Here is an 18,992-nt window from a genome sequence, read left to right on the forward strand (position 1 = left end):
ACATAACTGTGGAACGGAGGAAAGAGGAAAAGAACTCTGTGGTATAGGATTGGAATTAGAGGTATCAATATGAACTCACTTTTTTAAAAAAATGTATTCCCTAGTACCTGTCCAAAAATGAATAAGAATAGATTTAATTAGCTAAGCATGGTGGTGCATGCCTGTAATCCCAACTACTTGGGAGGCAGAGGTTGCAGTGTGTCACTCCAGCCTGGGTGACAGAGTGAGACTGTCTCCAAAATAAAAAAAAGATTGACATATACACACACATACATACATATATATGTACGTTTTTTGACATATATTCACATAAATGTGCCAATATATGCTTATATACGCATAGAATATTTATGGAAGGATATTCTAGAAGAAAACTGTAGCTAATTCTGAAGGGTAGAATAAGGGATGTGGTTGGATGGGGACTTTTCATTGCTACTATTCTCTATTAATATTGGTTTTACCAAGTACATGTATTACCTATTTAAACACTATGTAATTCTTTAATGTATCACCCAGAGCTAATATCTTCTTTCTTTATAGCTCAAAGACCTATAAAGAAAACATTCCAAAATAGACATGCAATTCTAACCTTCAGGAGGGCTATCTGGCTCATACGTCTGTTGAGTTCCTTGCTGAAAGACAGTATTTTTCTTTTTCAATATTTCCAAGCTGTCTAAAGCAGTACTGTGTTCACATAGCGACTTTAAAATAGAAATGGTATTTACTAATCCAGAAAGTTCTGAAGAATTTCTAGGATTCCAGTATTGTTTGCCTTCTCTGGCAGTTTCAACCTCAACATGGTCAGGGGGTGGACTTCTAATCTTTCCCAAATCTTCAGGTTCAGATATATGTGCTTCTGTGTCTTTGGAAATAAGATGCTTTTTTCCCAGTGGGTAAAACAAAGAATTGGAAATGTGGGTATTTGATTTATCAAGTGCAATACATTCATAGTGATTCTGATTGGTATTTAATAGTTGGACACTGTTGTCACTACTAGAAGTTGAGGGTAAAACATGTTCATCATTTTTGTCTAAGTCACTTCCCAAAATAAAAGGCTGAGGTTGAGCATCTTCTGAAAATAGATTACTGTTTTCAGCAATCTGGTTTTGAATATGAGGAATATGTAAATTCATGTTTATACCTTTAGATTTATTCGGGGGTAAAGCAAAATCATAGTTAATTCTGACTTCTTGAATAGGTTTATTAGCATCTTCTTTATTATCTCCGTATACAGCATCAGTCCACTTGAAAGATTCAAAATTGCTTAATGTGTCACTATACTCCTCTATTTCTTTTCCTGTGTTTTCAGTTTTACATATTCCCATGTCAAAACCCACATAAGTTTTATCACAAAACTGTGATGGCAGAGTCTCTTTAACAGGAAATGTCACTGTAGGTTTGTCACTAACAGATGTTAAGAATGGCAAATGTTCACCCTCAATCTCTTCACAGTTTGTATTCTCAGACCTCTTTTGAAAACATGAATTGCCATCATTAACCAAAATGTCCTTTACCCAACTCTCTGAATCCTGGGAAATTTTGTTGCTTTCCTGTGATTCCTCCTCAGTGTCACTGGTCTCAAAATTGTTCAGATTAAAAGTTACCTCCAAAAATGGTTGTGTTACATTACTCAGAGATTCATGAATACTATTAAGACTTTCATTATCCATTTTACTTTCAGAAATCATGTCTGTAATGTCATCAGAGATCCTAGAATTATTACTAGATTCAATTTGGAGATGTTTCAGTTCTGGCAGAGATGACTCTGATTGTTCATACTCCTTTTCCAGTGTTCCACATGTATTTACCTCCTGAGCATTTTCTTTAATGAGAACTGATCCTTTAATGCACCCCTTGTCATTTTGATTAAAAGGTATTTTATTATCTTCTTGAATGTCAGATTCTGATAATATACCATCATTTTCTGCACTGCTACAAGTAACCTGTAAGCTACTGCTTTCATTGAATGAAGGAATTTCTAATTTTACTTCCTGATTCCAGGATGGATCATTATTACCGACTGACTGGTCTACATTATACTTTTTCCTCTCTTCAGCATACGTTTCAACGAACTGTATAATTTTTTGTAATGAAAGGTCTTTCAAATTAGAATTTACATCATCTTCCTGGGCCTTGGGTTTCCTTTCTGTATCATTCCCATCTACAGTAGAAGAATGTATAGGTGAACTCTGTGAGGATAAATACATGGCCCACCGGCTTTTATTTCTCATGGTATTTTCTGATTGATGCTGGTAGTATAAATTTTCTGTGCTCTTCATCTCAGCACACTCTTCCTGTTGAATTAGGTACTTTGGTTTAGTAGCAATTTTTAAACTTCCTTGTGGTTGTTTTTGAGGAAAATGCTCTGTCATCTCAGAATTTAGTTCCTCACATGAACTAGATGATTCGGACTTCAGAAGAGCTAATATCTGTGCTTTGCTTCTGATGTTTTGTGAAACTCCTGAATAGTGAGATGCCAAACTATCTCTTTTCACAGGCTCATTGGTCAGTAAAGAGTCTGAAAGCTTATTTCCAGAATTGACAGGTGAGCAAAAATAATTTTCTTCACACAGCACTTCTGGGTTAATCTGGAAGGATGGAGAAAAAACCGAAGAAAAATCCATGGCATTTCTCTCCCTGTTCTTGTAAGTCACAATGTTCTCAGGGTCTGCCAGTATATTATTTACATCTTTCTTGCCAACAGTAGGAAACAAAGGAGGCATGCTGCAGAATGGAGAAAAAATAGTAGGGCCAGTTTTCTTAGCCTCATGTGATGCAGCTGATTCACCACTTTCCATAATAACCATTTTCTTTGGAACCTGACGTGGTCCTTGAAAACCCTGAAAATATTAAAATAACTGTTAGGTGTACCATTACCCATTAAGAAAATGTGAAATGAACTGGCTAAGAAAAAAAAAGGAGAAGGATTGTTTCTGGTTTGCCTAAGGTAAAGTAATAATTCAGATTTAAAGTTTGTCAAAGTACATTCATTTGTAATAAGATTTTTCAAAGTAGGGTTTACTTCCTTTCTACCTAAGTATACTATGAAGTGCCCTTTGAATGACAGAGTACAATAACTTCAAAATTCACTACTTTTCGAGACAATTTTATAAATATATTTTGATATATTATTTTCCATAGCAAAACTTACAGTAAACTTCCTTTTTAAGCCAGAGGGCTGACATCCAAGAGATCGGCCAGAGGATATAAATGTCCTTGAATTTAACTCTGGTGCTTCTTTATTGACATTCTGCTTAACAATACCTATGGCTCCAGCAACTTTAACCTCTTCAACTGTGATTAAGTATCGATCACTTTCTAAGTCATCTCCAGGTTTCACCTGAAAGAATAAATGTCAAAATCACATACATCTAATTATTTGATTATCTATGTATTCCAGGATGCTCACTAGCACTAAGACACAATGGGTGTTCAATAAATAGGTGTTGAACGAATAAATCAGTAACTAAAGTCTTCAATTATTTATTATTATGTACTCATTAACTATCAATAAGCACAAAAAAGGACAATAATATAATTTTAAAATTTCTCTGATTTGTTTATTCAACAACACATATTAGAGCTAGGCGTGGTAGCTCACACCCGTAATCGCAAGACTTTGGGAGACCAAGGCAAGAGGATTGCTTGAGGCCAAGATTATGAGACCAGCCTGGGCAAAATATTGAGATCCTGTCTCTACAAAAAATTTTTATTTTAAATTAGCCTGGGCTGGATGGGATGGCTTATGCCTGTAATCCCAGCACTAAGGACACCAAGGCAGGGGGATTGCTTGAAGCCAGGAGGTCAAGACCACCCTAGTCAACATAGCAAGACCCTGTCTCTACAAAAAACTTTTAAAAAAATTAGCCATGCATGGTGGCATGCACCTATAGTCCCAGCTATTTGGGGGGAATGAGGTGGGAGGATGATTTCAGACTAGGAGGTCAAGGCTGCAGTGAGCAGTTTTCACACCACTGCTCTCTAGCCTAGGTGACAGAGTGAGACCCTGTCTCAAAAAAAAAAAAAAAAAAATTAGCCAGGCATGGTGGCATGTTCCTACAGTCTCAGCTACTTGAAAGGCTGAGGTGGAAGGATCCCTTGAGCCCAGGAGTTTGAGGCTGTAGTAAGCTATGATCACACTGCCATACTCCAACCTGGATGACAGAGTGAGACAATGTCTCTAAAAACAAAATTAAATTAGTAAATAAATATTACATACTGGGGACCTATATAAGGCCCCTTGTTACATGCTAGGGATACAAAGACAAACAAGAACAAAATGCCCCCTCCCAAGCAATTCACTTAGAATCCATACAACTAAGTGTAACTTTTCAAAAATTAGAGTTATTACCAACTATATATCTTTAAATGAATAAGATACTCATAATTATCACAAATTAAACATTATTATAAATCATTAGTTGCTTAATCATATTCCAAAAATGCATTTTAATCATGTTAATGAGCAAATGTAGTACTTGCCACCACCTCTGACTGCAGCATAAAAATAAGATTATCACCAGACGCAGTGGCTCACACCTGTAATCCTAGCACTTTGGGAGGCCGAGGTGGGCGGATCACCTGAGGTTGGGAGTTTGAGACCAGCCTGACCAACATGGTGAAACCCCGTCTCTACTAAAAATACAAAACAAATTAGCCGGGTGTGGTGGTGCATGCCTGTAATCCCAGCCACTCGGGAGGCTGAGGCAGGAGAATCACTTGAACCCGGGAGGCAGAGGTTGCGGTGAGGTGAGATCGCGCTATTGCACTCTAGCCTGGGCAACAAGAGCAAAACTCCATCTCAAAAAAAAAAAAAAATTATCAGCTGAATTTGAAAATATACAAACTCTATATCAGATTAATATTTTACTAATGAAATGATTTTTTTTTCTTTGAGATGGAGTTTCGCTCTTGTTGCCCAGTCTGGAGTGCAACAGCGCAATCTCGGCTCACCGAACCTCCGCCTCCCAGGTTCAAGCGATTCTCCTACCTCAGCCTCCCAAGCAGCTGGGATTGCAGGCATGCACCACCACGTCCAGCTAATTTTTTGTATGTTTAGTAGAGAAGAGGTTTCTCCATGTTGGTCAGGCTGGTCTTGAACTCCTGACCTCAGGTGATCCGCCTGCCTCGGCCTCCCAAAGTGCTGGGATTACAGGCGTGAGCCACCGCGCCTGGCCTGAAATGATTTTTAAGATGAAATAATAGTAGTTACCACCAATCAGACCATATACTAAGATACTGATTCTCCTAGACCCTTTTAAAAATATATAAAAGTAACATAACCACTACTGATGTCATGTAAAATTTCAAAATGAATATTATGGCCAAAAATCAACATCGTCATCATCATAGTATGCATTTTAACACATTTAGAATCACTGTACTAGACTATGTGCGGTGGCTCATGCCTGTAATCCCAGCACTTTAGGAGGCCAAGGCACGTGGATCACTTGAGGTCAGGAGTTCAAGACCAGCCTGGCCAACATGGTGAAACCCCATCTCTACTAAAAATACAAAAAATTAGCTGGGCATGGTGGCGCACGCCTGTAATCTCAGCTACTTGGGAGGCTGAGGAAGGAGAATTGCTTGAACCCAGGAGGCAGAGGCTGCAGTGAGCCAAGATTATGCCACCATACTCCAGCCTGGGCAACAGAGGGAGACTCCATCTCGAAAAAAAAAAAAAAAAAAAAGACTCACTGTACTAACTAAAACTGCTAGGCACTTTACAGAAATTATTTCTAACCTTCAGACCGACCCTGTAAAATCTGTCTGTGATCTACATTTTACATCAGAGAAGTTAGACATAGAGAGTTTAGGTGGGCCAGGAAGTATTTAGAACTGGGAAATGAACCCAGAATGACCAACTTTAATATCCTAACTCTTCACTAAAATATGCCTTTAGTTCTCTTTCCATGCTTTTTCCTCTTTGAGAGGAAAAACACAAACTATGTATTTGACAGAATATTTATGTATTTATTTTTAACCTTTAAGTTCAGGAGTACATGTGCAGGTTTGTTATATAGGTAAACCCGTGTCATGGCGGTTTATTATACAGATTATTTCATCACCCAAGTATTAAGTCTAGTACCCATTATTTTTCCTGATCCTCTTCCTCCTCCTACCCTCTCTCCGTTTCTCAGTAGGCTTCAATGTCTGTTGTTCCCGTTTGTCCATGCATTCTCATCATTTAGCTCCCACTTACATGTAAGAACATGTAATATTTGGTTCCCACTTACATGTGAGAACATGTAATATTTGGTTTTCTATGTCCCTGCATTAGTTTGCTAAGGATAATGACCTCCAGCTCCATCCATATTCCTGCAAAAGAACATGATCTCATTCTTTTTTATGGCTGTATAATATTTCATGGTGTATTTCTATCTCATTTTCTTTATCCAGTCTATCACTGATAGGCATTTAGGCTGATTCCATGTCTTTGCTATTGTGAATAGTGCTACAATGAACATACACATACATGTGTCTTTATGGTAGAACAACTTATATTCCTTTGGGTATATACCCAGTTATAGTACTCCTGGGTTGAATGGTAGTTCTCTTTTTGGTGAGAGAATATTATACTTAAATGAGAATATGTCACAAAAAATTTCCCACAGTAGACCTCTGCCTATGAAAAAATCATGTAGTAGAATTAGACTCTAGAATCACCTCCTAGGATCAAATTTCAGCCTTCCTACCACTGTTACTCTATGAACATAAGCAAGTTACTTAACCTTTCTGCACTGCACTCCTAATCTATAAAAATCAGGTTTTTTTTAGATCATAAAAAATCAGTTGTAGAGATTAAAGGAAACAATATCTAAAAGGTTTTAGCACAAAGTCTAGCTATAATGTTCAACAAATACTATTAGTATTAATATTATGACTACACTAACAATATTCATAAAGGAGGTATTTAAAGAGATTTTTAAATAATAACTTAAAAATAAGATAAACACACTAAAATACCTCAAGGCATTTAAGAAACAGACTCTCCAAACATGCTCCTTTGTCATCATATAAAATTGCCTGTATGAAAACAAAATAAATGTTAAAAAGGAACAACACAATTATGCTTTTCTTAAACTTCTTCAAGAGGAAATAAGTAATTGTTATATAAGTAATCATATAATGAAAGGATTACATTTGTTGAACTTGGATTTGAAAATTCATCTATTTTGAATGTTTATTATGCATCAGTCTGTTTAAGAGAGTAAAGGCATACATAAAAGAAATTCGGGCAACCCGCTCGGGTCCCCTTCCACGCTGTGGAAGCTTTGTTCTTTCGCTCTTCGCAATAAATCTTGCTACTGCTCAAAAAAAAAAAAAAAAGGAATTCAAGAACTTAATTCCTACCAGGAGGATATTAGAATGAAACTGGGAAGAGGCTGGGCATGGTGGTTCATGCCTGTAATCCCAGCATTTTCGGAGGCCAAAGCAGGTGGATCACTTGAGGTCTAGACCAGCCTGGCCAACATGGCAAAACCCCATCTCTACTAAAAATACAGGCTGAGGCAGGAGAATTGCTTGAACCCAGGTGACAGGGTTGCAGTGAGCTGAGATCACGCCACTGCATTCCAGCCTAGGCAACAGAGTGAGACTCCATCTCAATTAAAAAAAAAAAAATTGGGAAGAAATTATAATTGAAACACATTAAAGGGGACAAACAGGAGACAAGATCATTTTAAGAGATTATTGCAATGGGATGGTATACAGGATGAAGGAGATGATTAGCACTTAAGATATTGACATTTGGGAGGATAAGATAATTATTTATGAGGTATAATGAATAAAACTTGTTAAATGTGAGGGGTAAGGGGGGAAAAAGGATGCTAAGGTGATTACCATTTTCTAGCTTTTCCCTTATGTCTGTAGCCCTTTTTCATAGCAATTTTTCCACTAGCCCTTTTAATATTGGTGTTTCCATCACTTTGGAAAACAGTTTGGCAATTCCTTGAAAGATTAAAGTTCCCACATGACCCAGCAATTCCACTCCTAGGTATATACCCAACAGAAATAAAAACATATATCTATACAAAAACTTGCACATTAATGCTCATAGCAGCATTATTCATAATAGCCAAAAAGTTGAAGTAACCCAAAGGTATATCAACTGTATTATGAATGGATAAATAAAACATGACGTATTGGGCTTGGTACACGGCTCATGGTGTTAAACCCAGATACTCCAGGTACTCTGCAGGCTGAGATGCAAGGATTATCTGAGACCAGAGGTTCAAGATCAATCCAGGGAACGAAGCAAGACTCTATCTCTAAAAAATTTTTTTTATTAGCCAGACATGGTGGTGCAAGCCTAAGTAGTCCCAACTACTTCGGAAGCTAAGGCGGAAGGATTGTTTGAGCCTAAGGGTTTGAGGCTACAGTGAACTATGATTGCACCACTGCAATCCAGCCTGGGTGACAGAGCAAGACCCTGTCTATTTAAAAAAAGAAAATCGCCAGGCGCGGTGGCTCAAGCCTGTAATCCCAGCACTTTGGGAGGCCGAGGCGGCGGATCACGAGGTCAGGAGATCGAGACCATCCTGCTAACACGGTGAAACCCCATCTCTACTAAAAATACAAAAAAATTAGCCGGGCGCGGTGGCAGGCGCCTGTAGTCCCAGCTATTCGGGAGGCTGAGGCAGGAGAATGGCGTGAAACCCGGGAGGCGGAGCTTGCAGTAAGCCGAGATCGCGCCACTGCACTCCAGCCTGGGCGACAGAGCGAGATTCCGTCTCAAAAAAAAAAAAAAAAGAAAAGAAAATCATGCCAGGCGTGGTGGCTCACGTCTGTAATCCCAGCACTTTGGGAGGCTGAGGCGGGCAGATCACCTGAGGTCAGGAGTTCGAGACCAGCCTGACCAACACGGAGAAACCCCGTCTCTACTAAAATACAAAATTAGCCAGCCTTGGTGGCACATGCCTGTAATCCCAGCTACTCAGGAGGCTGAGGCAGGAGAATCGCTTGAACTGGGGAGGTGGATGTTTTGGTGAGCTGAGAACACGCCATTGCACTCCAGCCTGGGCAACAAGAACGAAACTCCGTCTCAAAAAAAAAAAAAAGTTATATGGCAATAAAAAATAAAATATATATGAAGATACATGCTTCAACATGGAAGAACCCTGAAAATATTATGCTAAATAAGACTTATTCACAAAAGACTACTTATTATATAATTTCATTGATGCAAAAATGTCCAGAATAGGTAAATCTAGAGACAGTAAGTAGATTTGTGTTTGCATAGGGCTGGGGGCTGGGTACTGAGTAGTAATTGCCAATGAGTATGAGATTTCTTTTGGTGGTGACAAAAATATGCCAAATTTAAATTGTGCTAATGGCTGCAAAACTGTGAAAATACTAAAAATCACTGAACGGGTGAATCGAAAAGTGTGTGAAGTGTGAATTATATCTCAATAAAGCTGTTAAAAAAATGGTATTCTTGTCCCTCTTTTAATTTGATACACCCTCCCTGAGCACTATCATCCATATAAATCAGATCATGTTATGCTCCTGCTCAAATCATTCCCATGTCTCTACAGCTCCTAAGAATAACAAAAGTTCTTTCCATAGCCAGTGAGGCTTATATAATCCCCTTTATCTCCATTCTCGCCCTTGCTCACTCTGTTCCAACCACACTAATGTCCTTGTTATTGCCTTTCACTAGACATACATATGCATTTAATTTAGTGGTCTGTCTCCTCCACGTTATTTCCATGAAGTCAGGGATTTATTTGTTTTGTTCCCTGCTGTATTTCTTAGAACAGTGTGCAACTCACTCGGATGCCCAAAAAATATTTGTTGAACAAATGAATCCACTCCAATAGTTTCAAATACCATCTAAAAGCCAAGGACTTCCAATCTATACTAGTAGTCAGGAACTCCTTCCAGAGATCTGGGTCTCTACAGCTAATTACGTGAGTGCTTCTGTGATACTTCAAATTTATTTATTTATTTATTTATTTATTTTTCTTTTTTTGAGACTGAGTCTTGCTCTATTGCTCAAGCTACAGTGCAGTGGCATGATCTCAGATCACTGCAACCTCCACCTCCCAGATTCAAGCGATTCTTGGGCCTCAATCTCTTGAGTAGCTGGAATTACAAGCACCCGCCACCATGCCTGGCTCATTTTTATATTTTTAGTAGAGACGGGGTTTCACCACGTTAACCAGGCTGGCCTGGTCTCAAACTCCTGACCTCAAGTGATCTGCCCATCTTGGCCTCCCAAAGTACTAGGATTACAGGCATGAGCCACCGCGCCCAGCCTCAAATTTATTATGTTCAAAATGGAACTAAAAATCTTGATTGTTCCCATTCACTTATTTTTCTTTTTGAAATACTTCATTTTGGGAAATAAATACACAAACCTAAAAGTCATTCTGGATCCTCTTCTCACCTTCTATATCCAAGATCTAAGAGGCTATGCTTTCATAATTTCTCTATAATCATTCTTTTTCTCCATTGCCATTGCAAATGCCTGCTTGGTCAGACCTCCATTAATTTTTGTCTAGATTATTCTACAGCCTCTACTATAAGTCTCTGAAATCCAATCTGACTTTCATCCTACACAACTTTTACACTGCTGCCAAACCAATCTTTCTAAAATACAAATATAGCCGGGCACGGTGGCTCATGTCTGTAATCCCAGCACTTTAAGAGGCCGAGGCGGGTGGATCATCTGAGGTCGAGAGTTTGAGACCAACCTGGCCAACATGGTGAAACCCGTCTCTACCAAAAATACAAAAATTAGCCAAGTGTGGTGGCACATGCTTGTAATCCCAGCTACTCAGGAGGCTGAGGCCCAAGAATCACTTGTGCCCAGGAGGCAGAGGCTGTAGTGAGCCGAGATCGTGCCACTGCACTCCAGCCTGGGTGACAGTGGAAGACTTCTACTCAAAAAAATAGAATAAAATAAAATACAAATATGATATGTCACTCTTCTTCTCATAATTCTTCATTAGCTCCTGGGGCTGAGCATACAAAATTCTTCATGATATTGTTCCTGTCTACCACTTTAGCTTTATACTGCATCATTTCCCAATATGGGGCCTTCATTTCAGCTATATTTAAATGCTTATAGTTCCCCACATTTCGTATCATTTCATACATTCATGTTGTTGGGACTAGGATACAATCTTCAGCTCCCTTCCCCCTAACTTAGCAATTTTGTTTACAAAACAGAACAAAAAATATATATATATGCTTCATCTGGAAAGACTTCTCTGAACCAGAGACAGATCTAAATGTCTCTACCTTGTAATCTCATAGAATCCTAAACAAACATATTATGATCCTTATGCCCTTAGTCAAAAATTAGATAAAAGTCCCTTGAAGACAAGAATTCTAATAACAAACTACCATTCATTGCGTGCTCAGGATGTGGCAGGTACTTCGTTAAGGTCTTTACGTGTTACTTATTTTAATCCTTAAGACAACTTTATGAAGCATCATTTTCCCCATTTTACAAAGAAAGAACAGAGGCACTGAGATTACTCCCCCAAAATTATACATCTAATAAGAGAAGAGCCAGAATTGAAACTGAGGTCTACTTGACATTTGATGCTAACTGCTCTTCTACTCTGCATCCACCTATTTGACTTTTCCCACTGTCTACCAGTAATATGTTGGTTGGTTGATGACTTATTCAGTGGAAGATGAATAACTTTGACAGAATTTAGATAGAGAAAAGGCATAACTAGCAAGAGAAGAATATAAGCAATAGCCTGCATTTAAGATTGAGGGCGTTATTTAGGAAACAGTGAGATAATTAACTTGCCTGGAACATAGAAACTTTCAGGGACTAACTTGAATCTATCTTGTTTTCCTATAACCTACTTGTGTGAGATATATAATGGGCACTCAACAAATGTATGCTATAGTTGAAGATAAAGTTGGATAATAGCACTAGCATGACCATAATAATTTGGAACCAGAAGACAACACAAAGGATATGCAGAATCCAATCAGATGGCTTTTAAATATCTACAAGATTTTAAAGACACTGGATCTAAAGAAAAAGGCAGAATATAAAAGAAAAAGTTATATAGAATAGCATCAGACACTGAATGAATTAGTTTATGTATTTAAAAAAAATATGGATATGCAAAGACCTGAATATTCATCTATTTAAATTAGAAGAATTAATCACATGACTTGAACATAGCGATATTAACTATGAGACCACCACCTTTAAAGAGCATAGACTTGGAGATCCTGTTGTTACTACAATTAAACACAAGGCTCGACATGTCCCTTGGTGATGGTGTTCAAGTTATCCTGATTATCTATAGCCCTGGGTCTCAAATTTCAATCCAAAATCTTATTAGCAGCCTCAGTTCATTGATATGATAACTCCAGTTTACTTGGGTAACAAGTTTTTTACTCAACGTGAAAGTACCCTGTAACTCCTGAAACATTTAGAACTGGATATAGAGATAATGAAGTAATTCGAAACAAAAATATCAATACTTTTGAATTATGATCATGAACAGATTTTAGTTATTGGCCAATCTGACATTAGGTAATCCGATATTTAAAATATTTGAGCCAGGCGCGGTGGCTTATGCCTGTAATCCCAATACTTTGGGAGGCCAAGGCAGGCAGACGGCTTGAGCTCAGGAGTTTGAGACCAGCCTGGCCAACATGGTGAAACCCTGTCTCTACAAAAAATGTAAAAATTGCCAGGTGAGGTGGTGTGTGCCTGTGGTTCCAGCTACTTGGGATGCTGAGGTGGGAGGATCACTTGAGCCTAGGAGGTGGAGGTTGCAGAGAGCAGAGATTGCACCGCTGCACTCCAGCCTGAGTGACAGAGTTAGTTCTGTCTCAAAAGACAAACAAACAAAAAAAAACTAATAAAATATTTGTGTTATTTTTAATTTTAAAAAGCTACTTTTGCCAGGCACAGTGGCTCATACCTGTAATACCAGCACTTTAGGAGGCTGAGGTGGGTGGATCACTTGAGGTCAGGAGTTTGAGACCAGCCTGGCCAACATGGTGAAACCCCATCTCTACTAAAAACACAAAAATTAGCCAGGCATGGTGGTGGGCGCTTGTAATCCCAGCTACTCAGGAGGCTGAGGCAGGATAATCACTTGAACCTTGGATGCAGAGGTTGTAGTGAGCCAAGACTGTGCCACTGCACTCCAGCCTGGGCAACAGAGCAAGACTCTGTCTAAAAAAAGAAAAAAAAAAAGCACTTAGTTTTTTCAACTTAAGTTGCTTGAACATTAAGCTAAAACCCTACTGAAAGTAACTGTTTAACTTAACTAGGTTTACAAATTTAATAGGATTACATAAATTGAACTTGAAGGCTTAAGGCAAAATTAGTTTTTTAATTTGCTGTTTTAACAAATTAAATATTAAGAAATAGTAGGGCCAGGCGCAGTGGCTCAGGCCAGGCGCAGTGGCTCACGCCTGTAATCCCAGCACTTTGGGAGGCCTAGGGAGGTGGATTACCTGAAGTCAGGAGTTCAAGACCAGCCTGACCAACATGGTGAAACTCCGTGTCTATTAAAAATACAAAAAGTAGCTGAGCATGGTTGCAAGTGCCTGTAATCTCAGCTACTCAGGAGGCTGAGGCAGGAGAATCACCTGAACCTGGGAGGCAGAGGCTTCAGGGAGCCGAGATTGTGCCACTGCACTCCAGCCTGGGCGACAAGAGCAAAAATCCATCTCAAAAAAAAAGAACAGAATATGGTTATCTTTAATTGCTAGACTGAGGAGTAGGGACTTCATTCAGGAGGCCACAGACATTGTCAATGTGTCCTATATAAAATTAGTGACTCAACTGTAATAAAGTTCTTTTTTAAAATTAGTAATATTTGGATCACCTGAGGTCAGGAGTTCAAGACCAGCCTGAACAACATGGCGAAACCGTCTCTACTAAAAATACAAAAAATTAGCCGGGCGTGGTGGTGGCACCTGTAGTCCCAGCTACTTGGGGGGCTGAGGCAGAACTGCTTGAACGTGGGAGGCGGAGGCTGCAGTGAGCCGAGATCATGCCACTGCACTCCAACCCGGGCAACAGAGTGAGATTCTGGCTCAAAAAAAAAAAAAAAGAGACGCAGTAGAATGGAGAATGGTTAGGACATGGGCCCTGGGGACAAAAAGCCTAGGTTCATATGTGGCTCCTCCACCTTCCAGCTTTGACCCTTGGGCAAGCTACTCCATCTCTCTGTACCCCAGTTTCATCTTCAGTAAAATAAAGATTAAAAGAATACCTAACTAGTAGGAGAGTTATGCAGACTAAGTAAGTTGATACTTTTAAAGCATTATGCCTAGCATATAATAAGCAGTTTATAACTTTTTAAAAACTTTTTTATTTACTTTTAATTTTTTTGTAGAGACAGAGTCTTGCTTCGCTGCCCAGGCTGGTCTTGAACTCCAGGCTTCAAGCAATCTTCCTGCCTCAGCCTCCCAACGTGGTGGGATTACAGGTATGAGCCATGATGCCTGGCCTTATCATTTATGTTAGGAGCATTCCAATTCCACTCCTGGAGTTATTTTAAAAATATACAAAAAATTATCATTAACAATAGTCACTCAGCCGGGGGCAGTGGCTCACTCCTGTAATCCCAGCACTTTGGGAGGCTGAGGCAGGCAGCTCACCTGAGGTCAGGAGTTCGAGACAAGCCTGGGAAACATGGTGAAACCCCGTCTCTACTAAAAATACAAAAAAATTAGTCAGGCATGGTGTCGGGTGCCTGTAGTCCCAGCTACTTGGGAGGCTGAGGCAGGAGAATCGTTTGAACCCGGGAGGCAGAGTTTGCAGTGAGCCGAGATCGTGCCACTGCACCCCAGCCTGGGTGACAGAGTAAGACTCTGTCTCAAAAAAAATAAAAATAAATAACAATAGTTACTGTACTGTGCTACTGGATAACAGATCTTATTCGTTCTATCTATTAATGAACTATTTTTATAACGCACAAATTAACCACTGTGATATGGGGATCATTTGAAAATCTGTTTTCACATCATTTCAGTGTATGGATATATCTGACATTTTATCATGTACAGTTTTTTAAATATTCAATCAAAAATCGAGAACCTTGCTCTTGCACCCTATAGTCAACTGCTTTGTACTCACTTTGTTTCCTAAGTGAGTGATCTTCAGAATTCCATCTTGCCACACTTTTGACTTCTTCATCTTTTGATGAGTATATAGAACCTTATTTCCAAAAATACAAAAGAAATGGTTTCCATTTATATATATTTAATGTTATGTATTTTATATATCCTTCCTACATACAAAATATATTTAAGGCACCTTTCATCAAAAAAAGGCACATACACCCATATCAATTTTTTAAATTTTAAAAACAAAAGCACAGATAGCATGACAATAACATTAAATATTAATTAAATGAAATAAATAAGGGAAGGAAGGGAGAGAGAGAAGGAGAGGGAGGGAATAGGGGAGGAAATGGCAGGAGAAGGAAGAAAGGAGAGGAGAAATCCAAGGAAGAAACAAAAAAGATAAATGAGCATTGAAAGTAATTTGAGCTCCCTAGTCATCAATTGGAAGGGAAAAAAATTACTGGATTACACAGTACTAATAATCTGTGCAGTTCTCAAAGTTTGGTCCAGAGACTCCTGGAGGTCTCCAAGACCTTTACAGGTATCTGTGAGGTCAAAACTATTTTCATGATGCTGTCTTTTCATCCTCACTCCTTCAGGGGTGCAGAATGAAGTTTCCCAGGATTATGTATATGCAATATTGTAAGATTCAATTGCAATCTGAATGTAGAAGAAACAAATATGAGAATCCAGTTGTCTTCCATTAAGCCAAATCATAAATACTTTTTACATTTCTGCTTTAACTTCTAATATGAAAAACATCAATAGACGTAAGACCCTATATACACAAGTTATTTGGGGTCAATAATTTTCTAAGTGTTAAAGAGTCCCGAGACCAAATAGTGTGAGAACTGCTGATCTATACAGAAGACGGATGCCAGTTCTTCAAGAGAAAGAAATTGTTTCCCGGTCTCACACTTTCAAAGATTATGTTACAAAGGACTTTGTCTAATACTTGATCTTAGCCAAAAGGCTGAAAAGTGATGATTTTGTGTAACAAATATGAATAGTAGGTAACAGATAGGGTTACCAGATAAAATACTGTGCAATATTTGGGATCCTAATGCTAAAAAAGGTATGCATTGTTTATTTGAAATTCAAATTTAACTGAGTAGCCTGTTTTTTGTTTTGTTTTTGCTAAATCTGGCAACACAGCAAGATGTTTGTGAAACGCCTTTAAAAGAAAGAGACAGAGGAAGGGAATTTCACCAAACTGTGAAAAATGGTAAAACTTACAATAAATTCTTGGCTTTCCATTATTTCTTCTGAAGTTATAAACCAGCTGGGTCCAGAAAATAGGAAATATTCAACTATTTATACCACCTAAAATTAAAAATGACATAAAATTTCAACCCTGATTTTTAAAAAATATCAAATATAATTTTTCTCAATAAACTCCCAACCACAGACATGAATCAAGGAGTTCCAAGATTACCTAACTACCAAGGGAAACAGAGGTGTAATTATCTATCACTGAGGACACAGTAAAAGTGATACCATGCTGTGAAACAAGCATTTTTTCATAAGTAAAGAAAAAACTAAGTAAAATACATAAATTAACTTGTAGTCTGCATTTTTCCAGATGCATAATATGTATCAGAAAACACGAATTTGTCCTCCACATGTTTGGTTCCCTATAGCGCAAATTCAATTTTTAAAGTTTTCTGAATTGCTACGGTTACCACAAGATGGCCCCCTTGTGTTTTAAATTTTTCCTTTCACTTCTTAGCATCAATATACCACAGTATCTAGGACCAATTACATAGTACCTCTACAAGGAAAAATCTTTCCAACACTGTTGCAACAGTTACTGTAGTTGTTATGCTATTGGATAAAACTGTTTTTGTGGGCAAATTTGGAAATCTAAAATCACTGATGGTGATCCCTGAAGAAGTAAACAGAAATGCCAAAGAAACATACTTTCTTTTTTTTCCCCTAAGGTGGTTCTCAAGATGTGACCCCTGGACCAACAGTATCATCTGGGAACTAGTAAGAAATGACCTATTAAGTCAGAAAGTCTGGGGTTGGGGGCCCAGCAGTCTGTGTTTTAAGAAGCCCTCCAAGTGATGCTGATGGACACTCAAGTTTGAGAATACAGATCTAAAAGACCTAGAAGGATTCAATAAAGCTGTAATTGTGATTTCAGTTCCTCTTTTAGACATATAAAATATGCCACTTACATATTATTTATAAGTTACATATATTTATTCAGTACTTACTATTGTGCCAGATATTATGCTAAAGTATTTAAATGGAAACTCTATCCTCCATCTGAAGGAATTTCAGTATGGCGGGGTGATAAACAGTAATTTTAATAAAATAAGGCAGGAATAAGCACAGCAGGGGCACCCAGCTTGGTGTGGATCATCAAACAAGGCTTCTTCAAGGAAGTAAAGTCTAAGCTGTAAGCTGAAATAACCCTTAGTCAAGGGAAGGCCAGTGAAGGTCTTCCCAAACAAGAATTGCAGGCCTGTGATCCCAGCACTTTGGGAGGCCGAGACAGGTGGATCACCTGAGGTCAGGAGTTCGAGACCAGCCTGGCCAACATGGTGAAACCCCTGTCTCTACTAAAAATACAAAAATTAGCCAGGTGTGGTGGTGCGTGCCTATAATCCCAGCTACTTGGGAGGCTGAGGCAGGAGAATCACTTGAACCCAGGAGGCAGAGGCTGCAGTGAGCCGAGATCACGCCACTGCACTCCAGCCTGGGCGACAAGAGCAAAACTGTCTCAAAAAAAAAAAATAAAAGGGCGAGGCGGGGGCGGTGAAGTGCAAGAAAGTGACTGGCATCTTCCCTTGACTAATCAAGGTGATCTGGAGAAAGAATAGGTAAGGGGTATGCAAATGAGATATGCATACTTGCTTCGTGACACAGGTCACAGGACAGAAACCAAACCTACAGAAGGACTGCCTTTCAGAAATATAACTCCTGGCCGGGTGTGGTGACTCACGCCTGTAATCCCAGCACTCTGGGAGGCCATGGCGGGTGGATCATGAGGTCAGGCGCTCGAGACCAGCCTGACCAACATGGTGAAACCCCGTCTCTACTAAAAATACAAAAATTAGCTGGGCATGGTGGCACAGGCCTGTAGTCCCAGCTACTCAGGAGGCTGAGGCAGGAGAATTGCTTGAACCCGGGAGGCGGAGGTTGCAGTGAGCAGAGATCACGCCACTGCACTCCAGCCTGGGCGACAGAGCGAGACTCCATCTCAAAAAAAAAAAAAAAAAAGAAATACAACTTCCACATCCTATCTCCCTCCCCTCCGGCGTACATAAATTGCTGATGCCTAAGAATGCCAAGAAGATAAAAGAGAGATCGAGAAAAACACTCCTGGGCTAGATATGCTGTATACATAGATGAGAATACATGGTACAGACACAGTGCTGGGCATGTGGCAATTATTAATATCAGATCTGTTTAATAGCTACCATTTATTCAGTGCTACCATATGCTAGAAACTGTTAAATGCTTTATTTGGAGGTTTTGTTTCTGTTGGCTTTTTAACTTTTCTTTTTCTTTTACAGAGACAGGGTCTCACTCTGTCACCTAGGCTGGAGTGCAGTGTTGCAATCATAGCTCGCTGTGGCCTCAAACTCCTGGGCTCAAGCAATCCTTCCAGCCTCCCAAAGTGCTATATTATAAACATTATATACATTATATTGTTAATTATATACATTATAATTATTATGTAATTATATAATATATAACTATATTACTGTATTATGTAATATACAATTATATGATTATCGTGTGTAATTATATATATTTATTGATTACATACTATGTATCAGGCAGGAATTGGACGAGATACTTTACATACAGTATTTATCAGTCTCATAATCCTGAAGAATAAGCATTATTACAATTTACAGATTAGGAACCCAGTATTTACTAGTTTAGGATAACTTATATGCTATTTCACA

General features: G+C 38.8%; 1 protein-coding gene across 25 annotated transcripts in view; it reads right to left on the minus strand.

Moving 5' to 3' along the window:
- Positions 1-18,992, minus strand: part of ZGRF1 (zinc finger GRF-type containing 1) — a 97,571-nt gene that overhangs the window by 77,512 nt on the left and 1,067 nt on the right. For 15 of the 25 annotated variants that reach the window (XR_938764.2, XM_017008370.2, XM_011532091.3 and 12 more), the window contains exons 2-6: positions 16,306-16,392; positions 15,080-15,160; positions 6,967-7,026; positions 3,152-3,340; positions 590-2,840 (exon numbers count right to left, since the gene is read on the minus strand). Coding sequence is in view for 24 of the 25 variants with exons in the window: in XM_017008370.2 (XP_016863859.1) it covers positions 590-2,840; positions 3,152-3,340; positions 6,967-7,026; positions 15,080-15,160; positions 16,306-16,326 (2,602 nt within the window). In the remaining variant the exon portion in view is untranslated. Of the gene's footprint in view, positions 1-589; positions 2,841-3,151; positions 3,341-6,966; positions 7,027-12,908; positions 12,929-15,079; positions 15,161-16,305; positions 16,393-18,992 lie in introns of those variants that run through there. The other 10 variants (XM_047415917.1, XM_047415914.1, XM_011532092.3 and 7 more) reach the window with 2 other exon arrangements.

Source organism: Homo sapiens, chromosome 4 (assembly GCF_000001405.40).
Source record: "Homo sapiens chromosome 4, GRCh38.p14 Primary Assembly".
NCBI lineage: Eukaryota > Metazoa > Chordata > Mammalia > Primates > Hominidae > Homo > Homo sapiens.